The sequence below is a fragment of the Homo sapiens genome, chromosome 10 (genome assembly GCF_000001405.40).
Source record: "Homo sapiens chromosome 10, GRCh38.p14 Primary Assembly".
NCBI classification, from domain to species: Eukaryota; Metazoa; Chordata; class Mammalia; order Primates; family Hominidae; genus Homo; species Homo sapiens.
Window position 1 is genome coordinate 55,494,843 of NC_000010.11, and position 13,276 is coordinate 55,508,118.

The following is a 13,276-nucleotide window of genomic DNA, read 5'->3' on the forward strand; positions in this document are numbered from 1 at the left end:
GGAGAACTCATACTTCCTAACTGTAAGACTTACTACAATGTTACAGTACTAAACAAAGTGATGTACTGTCATGAGTATAGACACACAGATTAATGGAATGGAATTATAAATTTATAAATAAGCCTTAGTATTTATGGTAAATTAATTGTTGACAAGGGTGTCAAAAATAGCTTTTCAACAAATAGTGCTAGTACAACCGGATATGCACATGCAATAAAATGACATTGGACCCCTATCAAACCATACATAAAAGTTAGCTCAAATGGATTATATACCTAAATATGTATGAGTTAAAACCACAAAACTCTTACAGGAAAAAATAGGTGTATGTCTTCATGGCCTTGGATTAGCCAATGATTTCTTAAATATAAAACCAAAATTACAATCAATGGAATAAAATATACATAAACATATATAAACTCTATTTCATGAAAATTAAAAACCCTTATGCTACAAATATTAACATTAACTAAGTCAAAAGGAAAAATACAGAATGGAAAAAAATTTGAATGCCTTAAATCTGATAAGGGACTTCTACCCAGAATTTACAAAGAATTATCAGAACTCAATAATAAAAAGACATATAATCCAATTAAAAATGGGAAAGAGGTTTGAATAGACATTTCAACAAAGACCATATACAATGGCCAAAAGCAGAGCAAAGATTAATGAATAGGGAAATGAAACTCAAGACAATGCTGAAAAATAGCTTCATATCCACTAGCATGGTTGTATTCAAAAGCACATAATAACTTGTGTGCTCCATGTAGAGAAATTAGAATATTCATGCCTTATTGGTGGGAATGTAAAAGATTACAGGTTCTTTAAGAAACAAATTTTTCACTTTCTCAAAATTTTCAACATATGACCCATGAATTTCACTTCTACTTATATATTAAAGAGAAGTGAAAACACACTCCCACACAAAAGCTGTATACAAATGTTCAAAGCAGCATTATTCATGATAACCAAAGAATGGAAACAATCCATGTGCCTTTCAACTGATGAATGGATAAATAAAGTGTTGACTAACCATATAATGGAATCTTATTTGTTAATAAAAAATGAATAATTACAAATGACTATATCATAGGATTCTATTTTTATAAAATGTTTACAATAGGCAAATCTATAAGACAGAAAGTAGACTGGTGGTTTCTTACAGGTAGGGGTAGGGTGAGGTTCAAAGGGATGTGAAGTGGCTGCAAATGGGCTGAATATTTTGGGGAGGAGGAAAAATAATTTTAGATTTGCTTTCAGTGATGATTGCACACACGTGAACTTACTAAAAACTTTGGCTTGTACATTTTAAATGGGTGAATTGTATATGAGTTATATCTCAATAAAACTTAAAGACATAAATCACAGATTTCTCAGCAGAAATCCCATCAACCAGAAGATCATGAAAAAAAAATTCAAAGAAATGTGATCCAAAAAATAAATAAGCACAAATGCGTGTGCGTGCGCGTGCACACACACAGACATAGACACAGGCCTGGCTTACTTTTTTATAAATAATAACACAGCTTTGATGAATTTATCATTAGTAATGATAATATGATTTCATAAAATTTCAGCCATTAAAATGTTTATTTCCTTGTAAAACATTTTTATATTGAAAATAAAATATTTTTAAAACTAAATTTAACACACACACAGAATTAGACAATTAAGTAACTACACTGTAGAAAATAGGAACCACGTTTTTAATGGCCAGAGAAAGACTTTACAAATAATCAAGTGAGGAGGGAAATACAAACCTTGTGCTGATGAATTTAATTAGAGATATTAGTTTGAATTCATTTTAATTTTAGCATATAAGAATAGCTAGGAAAATATAGACAGAAGTATATACATGGGTATACACATATATGTCTATACATACTATATATGGGCTTATATATGGTAATCATACAATGGAAAACTGATATGAAAAAGCCAAATGTGAAAGACGAATAATCTTAATATATTGTTTTAAACTAATGTTTCAATTATTATTGACTGCTTTCATAATTGGCTAGGTTTTGAAAAGGTCAGGTAAATAAAATTAAACAATATCTGCATAACTTTCCATTGATTTTAGTAAGCTAATTTGTTTTATGAGTCTCCACAAAATAGGCAAAATATGTAGTTTAGCTGGATTTATTTAACCACAGAATACTTTTGGGGACAATTTTTAATGGGAAAGTGTTCTGTAGAAAATGACAGGCTAGAACAAATGAATTTAAATAAAATATTAAATGGAAAAAATTAAAGGAGGTAATAAAATATCAGAATACATCATTTTACATGTAATTTTTTCTTTGAGACAGCATCTTGCTTTGTCACCCAGGCTGAAGTACAGTGCTGCAATCATCACTGGCTGTAGCCCAGACCTCCAGGTCTCAAGAGATTCTCCCACCTCAGCCTCCTGAGTAGCTAGGACTACAGGTGCACACCATGACGCCTGGCTGATTTTTTTTTTTAATTTTTTGTAGAGACAAGGTCTCACTATGTTGTCCATGCTTGAACTCTTGAGCATAAGCAATCCTCTTGCCTTGGCCTCACAAAGTGTTAGGATTACAAGCATCAGCCACCGCGTCTGGCTGAAAAGAGGTACTTTTTAAAAACCTTTGATTTCGAGTTGGCTTGGCTTACTTTTCTGTAAGTAATAACACAGCTTTGATGACTTGATCATTAATAATGATAATACAATTTCATAAAATTTCAGCCATTAAAATGTTTATTTCCTTGGGAAAACATTTTTATATTGAAAATAAAATATTTTTAAAACTAAAATTAACAGCATTTAAATCAAAAGAGCAAACCAATAGAAGATATAAAACAGTGTTTCTGAATGCTCAACCAAAGTTATTTCTGGGAAAAGACTTAGTTTGAGTGTTCTGAAACCCATTTTGTAAGAATCTTTCTCTCTGAATGTTGCCTCGTCTTTCACACTACTTGAATTCATTTATTTCACATAAACTCACATCACATATCTGGCAAGATGATTCTATCTACACATAGATAAATGTAAGTGGAAAGATGTGAAATGGAAAAGTGAACTCTCTTCAAATTCTATCACGTTCAAAATGTATAAGATTAGCTGGCAATTTCTAGAATCTTGTGATTTAAATTCTTTTACCTACGGATATGTATAAATCTGTTGGGTTTAGCCTATATCTACTCTTAAGTGCAGCTTCATTAATGTTTATGCTTTTGAAGAATAAAATGGATTCCAAAGATTCCATGTTCCTTATTCAAATGTAAAATGACTGGGCAATTGAAGAATGCAATTATCTCCACCAAAATGTTTCTAAACATCTTTAAGAAGGTTGAGTTATTATATTTTAAAGTCGAAATTACATTTAAGTTTCGTTCTGTGTCTCAATGACTCATTGCAGATTTATAATTGATGAAAATGTCTACAAAGGCATGGGGTATTTGATTCTGCATGATACTTGAACCTAGATAGCTTCTGATAAAGTGAAAAGACTTCTGCAGAATATAAAATTAGTGTGCTTGTAAAATGACTTGAAATTCCACAGTATAGCTGCACCCAACAAAAGCAAATCAAGCATCCACATTTTATAAAGTGTGTTCACTTATTTCAAATAAAAAACTGTTCAAGTGACCTACTTTTCATCAAGACACTTTAAAATGAGAAATGAAGCACATAAACATGGCACCATGTGTCTGATATCTCCTGAAGTGACAAATGAATTCTGATTACACATAACCTCATTGTTCAATACTCAATTGTATCTTTGAACAATGAAAACTGAGTCATACTATGCCAAGTATGAAATATGCTCAGTACTATATAAGTAGCAGCTATAGTAGATGATTGCTATCTTCATAATGAACCTGCACCTGAACCTTAAAGCAGAAACTGACAGTGACCTTTGTGATAGACAGGATTTTAAAATAGCCTCCCAAACTCCTATCCCTTGCTATGCATGCTACATAATGGCCTCATGAGTTTGGATAGGCTATCTTGAAGACCCCATACAGAACGGGATGCAGATGTTACAGATAGAAATCAGAGCAATTCAAAGCTGCAACAAATACCATCCTGTTGACTTTAAAGGAGTAAACTGCCATGTTTGCTCAGGGCCAGATGGCAGGGAATGGTAGGTATCCTCTAGGAGTTGAAAAATTATGTCTAGTTGACAGCTAGCAAGACATTGAGGGCTTTGGTCACTGTTTTGATGCCTGTCAACTGGAGAAAATGTTTGACTTTTCCAAACAATTGGTGAGATTGGCAGAGTACTGAATTTTCACATAATTTTCATATGCATCCATAGCAATCTTGATTTCTTCTTGGTGAGACACTGAGCAGGGGAAATAGCTTATCCAAACCCAGACTCCTGACCTACACAAATGAAGCAATAATAACTACATGTTTTAAGTTGCTAAATTTGTGGTAATTTGACAGTAACAGAAAACTAATACAATTTTCATATGATCTTTCATAGGATTTGAGAAAAATACATTTGAATACAAAAACAAAATGCTATCAACCATCCTAAAATAATTGTAAAGGAGCAATTTAAACTATCTTCTTTTTATAGACTCTCCCTACACACACACACACACACACACACACACACACACACACACACACACACAAATAATGTTGCATCTCTCACCATGTCTCATTATTCTAGGTTTCTTATTCTTCATTCTAAAAATGAAATCTTAATCAGTTTTCTTAGATGTCTTTGTACATTCTTTTAAAATTCTTATACAATTTTTTTAATTGTCAAGATCAAACCCTGACTCAGCTAAAATAGATGAAAGGTTATCCAATTAAACATACATCCCCTAGTATTTGTAGGAAAGTAGCCTAAAAAAAATTCCATGTTGACATGTAATTTGTATGTCTGTTCAATTTGCAATGTTTTAAATAGCAAGTTAAAATAAAACTCTTCTAAGTTTAACTTGAAGTACAATATTAAAATGTATGATTTAAATTAATAAAATTATATTTATTTGGTAACAGTTCCTTTTAGAATAAAAGATTTCAAATATCATATAAAATAGGCTAAGTAAATGTGAAAGATGTTTTTGAAATCTACTTAATGCATCGAAATAATTAGGTAATTTTTATTGTGTGAATATAAAAATGCACACCTTTTGTAAATTATGAGATACTTGCTTTCCATCAGGTGCAAAAAGAGTTTACAAAATGTAATATCTAAGATAAATATGTTAGCTAAAAAGAGTCATATGAAATTATGAATTTTATAATAGTCAGAAAAGAAATTGTTAATGGTGATTATGGGAACAGTATCTTAAAGTTGAATATAGTTTAATACATCAGATAAGAACAGCAGAATTCTGGTAAATGACTAAGGAAACAGGTATCTTAAAGAATGTATTAGGATGTATGATATTTTAAAATTTCCTATAGTTGCACCAATTACTTTAGGATAAATTTGACCAAAGTATTGAAATTCAAAAGAAGATTTAAATATGAAGGACTAAGTCAGTTGAAGCAATTACATGAAACAGTATATTATCTTATTTTTTAGATTTAAATTGATTAGCATATTTAACTTTTACATGAGGCAGTCAGAGGGCTAAAGAGATTGTCAGAATACAAGAAAGTTTTACAAATTTCCTATTGAGTGTTGAAGTAATTATAAAATTCTCTGGAGCAACATTTCTCTACCTGTAATATGAATATGTGTCTCCCAGGAATCTTATTAAAATGAAAATACTAATTCAGTGGGACTAGAACAGAGACCCAAATTCTTCAGTTCTAACTAGCTCCCAAGTGATGACAATGCTGCTGGTCTATTGATCTCACATAGAATAGTGAGACCCTGATCATCCATATGGAATTATGGACAGAAATCTGTGTCTACACTACCTAATATTTCTGACATCTTTGGGCAACCCATGTGAACTTAGGTAAAAGGTGAAATATTTGAGTGCATATAAAGTTAGAATGCTGTCTGTAGTAAATTTTGCTTCTATGACTTTTAACCCAAATACATATAATACATATTTGTTAATATTTCACAAATATATATTGATTAGTTGACTCTTTATATGACACAGTGCCTCAATGCATTTCAAAGTGACATTGATCTTGTGATCAAAATTAACAACAGTTGGACATTTTAATGGGTTGAAGTCCCTAAGGAGATATGTTAAAGTCCTAATCTTTAATACCTGCAGATGTGACCTTATTTGAAAACAGGATCTTTGCAGATGTGGTCAAGTTAAGATGAGGTCATTAGAGTGGGCCCTGATCAAATATAACTTCTGTCCTTTTAAGAAGAGAAGACAGAGACACACAAGGAAAAGACTGCCACATAATGGCAGAGGCAGGGATTGCAATGATACATCTGCAAGCCAGGGAACACTCCTGGGGTACCTGAAGCTGAGAGAGGAAAGGAGGGATCCACCTCAAAGGCTTTAAAGGGAGTGTAGCCTTGAGAACAACTTGATTTTGGACTTTTAGCCTCCAGAACTGTGAGAGATTAAATTGCTCTTGTTTTAAGCCACCGAATTTATATTAATTTGTTATGGAAGTCCTAGGAAACTAATAAAATTATTAATCATATCTGGGGACTATTTAAAAATCATTCAAATAATAGCATTGGATAGTGATTATGTATTTGCTAATTTCCTCTATTATGATGTATTTATTAATTTTATCTGTAATAAGAAAAACAATTGTTGAGGTAGTGAAGTAAATGCAAGCCAAGAAATGAGATAATACCCCTTGATGGTTATATAGTGTTTTAGAAAATAAAAGTTATTTTAATAAATTAATTATTTCCTCTGAAATCTTAAAGCTGCCAAGTTAGATTAGGTGAATCAGAAAGTGCAATTATGCCAACTATAAGTTACAAGTTTGGAGTAGTTATGTCATTTGTGCAAATAATAAATGGTAGCAATAAACTAACAGAATCTCAGTGAAGAGGCATTGTTTAAAGCACCTGTGAATTGCATGGTGAAATGGACAGTACCATGGTCAAGATTAAAATCAATCTCTTGTTTATCAATTAATCAGTAATTCCATCATCCACACTAACTTTGTACTTGACATATTAAAGGAACATTAATGAAAAAACAATCTTTTAACAAGGCAACTTACTATATAGCCAAATTTTTAAAAATATTTAAAAATGTTTTTTTTCTTATGTAATTTCTTTACATCCTTCCCACTTGCAGGTCTTTGTAACTATGTGTGATACCTAGACCAAAACTTTTGCAATAAAAATTCATTCACATGTAAGAAAACCCTCTCCTAAGTAAAAATTAATTTTAAGCAGTGACTACCTTACTATTTTTCCTACCTGCCTTGAAACATCAGGGCTTTATTACTTCTCCTTATGGAACTGCCATTCCAGCCTCATATTGCACGTCATTTCCAATCTCTTTCTGTCCCACTTGTATTGCTCTTTATGCCGTGCCTACTAAATACAATGCTTCCTTTAGTTACAGTGTCATTGACACATGCTGTTCCATTGGCAGTAACAGCCCTTCTCATCCTCTTTGCCCAGAGAGCACCCTTTCAAGCTTAGAACCCCACCAATCATATTTTCTTGAAAAAAGCTTCCATCAATTTTCTGAATTAATGAAATACTTCTAGTATACACTATCATGATCACACGCATATCTCCATCATAACCTGGATGTCACGTTGGAGTGTCATATTTATTATCAGATAAAAATATGTCTTATTGCGCAGTGATAAAGTTTGTTTTCACACTTCCTTTTTAACCTTAAGACTTAAAAGAGTGCTTGAAACTTTAGTAAACAGTCAGTCGGTATTTTCTGAGTCAAGGGATAGAGGATTGCTGGTGAAATAATGCCTGGACTCTATTCTAGGCTCTAACAGTAATTGGGCTGATTGTTAGATTGGTCAAACTATCTTTCCTTTTTGAGTCTCAATTTTCTTATCCTTAATGTGGTTATAAATAAAGGATGTGATATGAAAGCGTAGTGCATTGGCTAAAATGTAGTACACACCAAAAATTTATTTATACTTGTTATTCTTTTTTTTCGTGTTTTGAAGAACAAATAGTTCCAATATTAAGAAACAGATTCTCAGTAGGTTAATTTTTAATAAATTAACTGCTTATCAAAATGTAACCTAACTGTGCAAAATAAATTTCTGAAGGAGCACTTTTATGTGTGACAAATTAAACATTAATAGCAAAACAACATATATTTTCCTAAATTATACAGATTAACTCATTCATTAGTTTTTATAGGAAACCATGCCTCAAATATGAAAGACATCTTATAAAAATACAGTAACTAGTTTTGAATTATTAATTCATTAAACACATATATTTAATGCTTATTATGAGTTAAGTTCTAGGTTTCAGAGTGGGACTATCTGAATTCTACACTGTTTCCTCAATACAATTACAAAGTTTTACAATTAACAAAGATAAACAACGGTTTTCATAAATTGTAATAATCTTATATATGCATAATTTGAATTAAATTTTAAATAAACTAAGTTTCTAATTTTAAAATTAAGTTTTATTAATTAAAATAAATTTAAATATAAAATAAATATTCTAAATAGCTAAATAATTTAAAATTATATTGTATTAATTAAAATATATTTAAATATATGGAATGTTTATTTTGATGTGATGGAATCTTTATTTATTTTATGTTGATAATAAAATTTAATTAATTACATTGAAGTCTTAGATTTTCATACAATCTGAAATGTAGCATAGGAAGCCAGAGGACAACATTGAAGATAATTTTAAACTATTGGTAATATTGTGAGAATAAAACATCATTTATATGAGTATTAGAAATAGTATAATGACCTCCCAAAAAGATAATCAGATAATAAGCATATGAAAAGGTGCTCCATATCATATGTCATCAGGGAAATGCAAATTGAAACAAGAAACCACCACACACTTATGAAAATTACCACAATCCAGAACACTGAAAACACCAAATCTTGTCAAGGAGTAAAAGGAATTATCATTCATAGCAAAATGGTACAGCCATGTTGGAGATTCTCTGGCAACTGTTTACATAACTAAATATATTTTTACTGTATGATTCCGCGACCAAGGACCTTGGTATTTATCCAAAGAAGCCAATCTGAGAAGGCTACATACTCTATGATTCCAACTGTGTGACTTCTAGAATAGACAAAACTATACAGAATGTAAAAGGATCAGGGGACTTAGGCAAAAGCAAGGAATGAGTAGGTGGAGGACAGAGTATTTTTAGGGCAGGGAAACAACTCTGTATGACTATAATGATGAATACATGTTATACCTTTGTTTGAACCTATAGAATTTAGAACACCAAATGTCAACCCTAACGTAAACTATGCATTCCGGATGCTAATGACATATAATTGTAGATTCATCAATTGTAAAATTAAAAAAAAATTAAAAGCACCACTCAGGTGAGGAATGTTGATAATAGGAAAAGCTATGCAAATGTGGGGCAGGTGTTACATGAGAAATCTCAATTTTGCTATAAATCTAAAACTGCTCTAAAAATAAAGTTAATTATTTGAAAATATGTTGGATATATTTCATTATTTTTAAAAATAACTAAAAAGTGCTCACATATTGTAAATGAGGTCTCAAAGACAAAAACTGTAAATATGTCATTTAAAATTTGGTAAAGTGTTTAAAATAAAAAATTCTAAAGTTAAGACATTTAGGTTTAATTACCAGTACATCCATAACTGACTATGTGACTTTAGGAAGTAATTTAGCTTTTCTAAGCTTCATTTCTCATCATATAAAAAAACGAAGAAGTAGAATTTTTCTCAACAACTAGAATGAAAAGAAAAAAATTCACCCAAATACATATCAAATGGTAACAGCATACAATAATGAATAATAGAGGCTATTACTAATGAAAAACATTACATCAGGTAATATTTTCATATTATACTGTTATTTTTATATCTGTATTGTATCTTACATACAACATAATTCAACAAATATTTTCTGTTTTATCATTCAGAAAATAAATACATAGATATAATGCATACATTTAAATGAGTTCCTTTTGGAAACAAAATTATTTACTGAGAAATACTAGGAAAATTCAAATCAAAATATGCACTTTAGTGCTTTAGTTCTTAAATTAGACAAAATATTTTTAATTTCAAGCATGTCAAACTATGTTTTGTAGCGTATTAACAAATAGGAGTTTGTCATAAGAGCTAATTTCAGGGCTTTACAATGTTCTGACTTGCATTGGAAACTTTTCTGAAGGCAAGTTTTTTGTTTTTGTTTTTGTTTTTGTTTTTCTAGAGAACACTTTGATATGAACTAATGAGAAGACACAGGAAATGTTTGAATACTTATACAAAAATCTATACTGCAGTAGAAGGTTTATACAAGAGTTAGGGCTTAAAATTAATCTGGAAATACATCTTGACAATTAATTTTAGTAATATTAATTAGTGGTGTAAGCAATTAAGAGCTATTAAAGATAAGTGAAAGTAACTATGATCTTAGATATTTATTATTGACATTTAACTGAAATTAGAGTTCATAGTAATTTGGAAAATAAAGATATTGGGAGAATACCATAAGGTATGATAACCTGGATTCTTTAAGAAAATAATAAGACTAATATAAAATAATTTTAAGGGAATTAGTAGACAAGGACATGGTGATTTTGTGACAACAGCCAAAGAATAAAAATACACAGATGACTCAAAAATCTTGAGCTGGACAGATTCACAATGATAGACAATATATGGAAGGTAGGAGTCCATGTCTTAGGTAAAGTCTGTCATCTAAGTTAGACCTGAGGAGTCTGCAATGGCAGGAGAATTTAAATTCAGTTTATTTTTACATTTCATTCATTCAACAAACATGTATCAGGCAATGTTGTAAGAGATGCTAGTTATAGTCATCAGCAAGACTAGCACAATCTATTCCTTCAAAAGTTTTATATCCTACCTAAAATGACAGTTATAAAATTAACAATTATGCAATTAGTTATTGAATCCCATATGATAAACATGTCTTAAGAGAATTCTGTCCTGTAGGAAGACTTCCTTGAGGAAGTGACATTTTAGCTGAACCTCCAGGTGGCTTTTAACTAAGTAAAGAGATTGAAAAATAAGTACAAAAACAAGAAGAAAAGAGGCATTAAATTAGGATTAGAATGTAAATGATGTCAGATTATTCAGACACCTTAGACTATGCTTAGATTTTGGTCATTAACATGAAAATGTTGTAAAAATAGCATGAAAGACTTTAAACACATGAATGATACAAGAATGATGACACTGACATCAGATTGATTCTAGTGCAAAGACAGATTAGAGGTAGAAAATGAGTGTGGGGATACCATTTAATAATCTAATGTGTCCCTCCAGGAGAAAGATGAAGGTGTCTTGGCCTAGATAACTAAGTAGATGGTGGTACATTCTTTGATTGGATGGACACTGGAGAAGACATAGTTTAGAAGGAAATCTGCTTGTTGTAAGTATGTAATGTGTTGAGTATTAGATTTCTGGGAAGTACCAAGGAAGCTATTGAATAGATAGCTATAGCTCAGAATGTAATAACATAATGCAAGACATAACACAAGGCTTCTCACGTGTCTAAAGTTGGATAATACTATTTGTGTGTGTGGGAACTCTGTCATCTACCTAGAAGAGACAAATGAAGCTATGTGAGTAGAGAGCTACATAAGAAAGTGTATTTGATTGGAATACCAAAGGGTTCACAACTGAACCATTTCAAGGCTCAAAAAGAAAAGTCAGATGACGAAGGTGATAAGGTAACTAGAAGAGGTATCGAGGAGGAACAAACAGGGTAATATTTTGAAAACTCGACACTTTATTCAAGGCTATAATTTTTATTCCCGGGAGAGTGTATAATTTATAGAAGTGTATATGGCAAGTTTCTGAATCCTTCAGCATGTGCATATACAGAATATAATATCTCACATACACTTTGATATTGTTTTAGAGCTATTTCTTAGTGGTGTCTAGTTCTCAATTTCATAATACATTTTTTAACCCCAAATCAAATAGATTTATTTTATTTTGCATAGTAACAAGCAAAATTTTGCAAACTATAATAATGGCTACAATTTTCTGAAAGCTGATTGAATATTCAGTGACTTTAAAGATTAACACATGAAATAGTAACATAGCTCATAAAAAACGTGGAATATTTGTTAAATTAAGATTATATATAGGTATATACATATAATTACTTTTTAAAATAGAATTTAAAAAATCAACCACAGCATCTATAAATTTTAAAATGTAACAATAATTTTATCTTGAAATTGCATAAGATCAAAGCCACATAATTTTTATAAAAAAAATCTCACTCAACAGGTTATAGTGGAGATTAAATGAAAAAAGCGCATGCAAAGCATTTGCCATGTATCAGGCAAATAAACATTCAACAAGTATTAATTTCTATCACAATCATAAAATATGTGGCTACTTTTAGATAATATAATGCACAGTAATTCTTGGGAGGTAAGTGGCTGTCATCTACATCTGCATGAACATGCACATACACACACATATGCACACACACATACACATACACAAACACACACACGCACACATACACACACATAAACTAGCTGAGTGCAGATATGTTTGGAAACCACTGGATTCTATATCCTTTCTTAAAGTATTATAATCTAAGCTATAAAATCAATGTTACAAAAATAAAAATAAAGAAACCCAAGTAACTTGAGTTTTCTTTTCTTTTCTTTTTAATTTTTTAATTTTTTTAAAATTTGAGATGGAGTTTCACTCTTGTCGCCCAAGCTGGAGTGCAATGGCGTGATCTCCCATTTGAATATAAACACTTTCATATAGCATAATTGGGAAAAACTGGTCCAGAAAGTGACCAATTTGGGTCTTTATGAATTTGAATGATTCGTATAATTTGACATCTTAATAACTCAGGGTCCACAAATATCTAAATACTAAAGCTTAGTCACAGAAAAGATAATGGTTCGTTGTGTGGAATCCTTCAGATTTAGACATGAGCAATAGCTGAGGTGTTTTTCTTAACCATGATCAATTTAAGAGATCCAAATTAAAATTATTCTGGCTAATTAAAAAAACATGTAATCATTGTGCCACTTTTCAGAGATAAAAATAACCTAAGGTATATCTACATGTATAAACTGAGGTATAATATCAGAACTTGTAACTTGAGTGATTTTGATAATCAAACTGGACAAATGTTACCCTACTTATTTTAGAAAAAACATCCCGGACACTTATTTAGGATTTTATTTTTTGAAAATTTTTTAAAATTAGATTTTATTATGACTT

General features: G+C 30.8%; 1 protein-coding gene across 1 annotated transcript in view, besides 1 other annotated feature; it reads right to left on the reverse strand.

Annotated features, from left to right (window-relative positions):
- The window catches only part of PCDH15 (protocadherin related 15), a 1,825,172-nt gene that overhangs the window by 1,692,072 nt on the left and 119,824 nt on the right, over window positions 1-13,276 (reverse strand). The window lies entirely within an intron of this gene.
- Window positions 6,352-6,401: an enhancer, noted in NCBI's record as "active region_3380". NCBI's record gives its function as "activates an Ori minimal core promoter by ATAC-STARR-seq in GM12878 lymphoblastoid cells {active_cell/tissue: GM12878}" and the evidence as "EXISTENCE:reporter gene assay evidence [ECO:0000049][PMID:35858748]".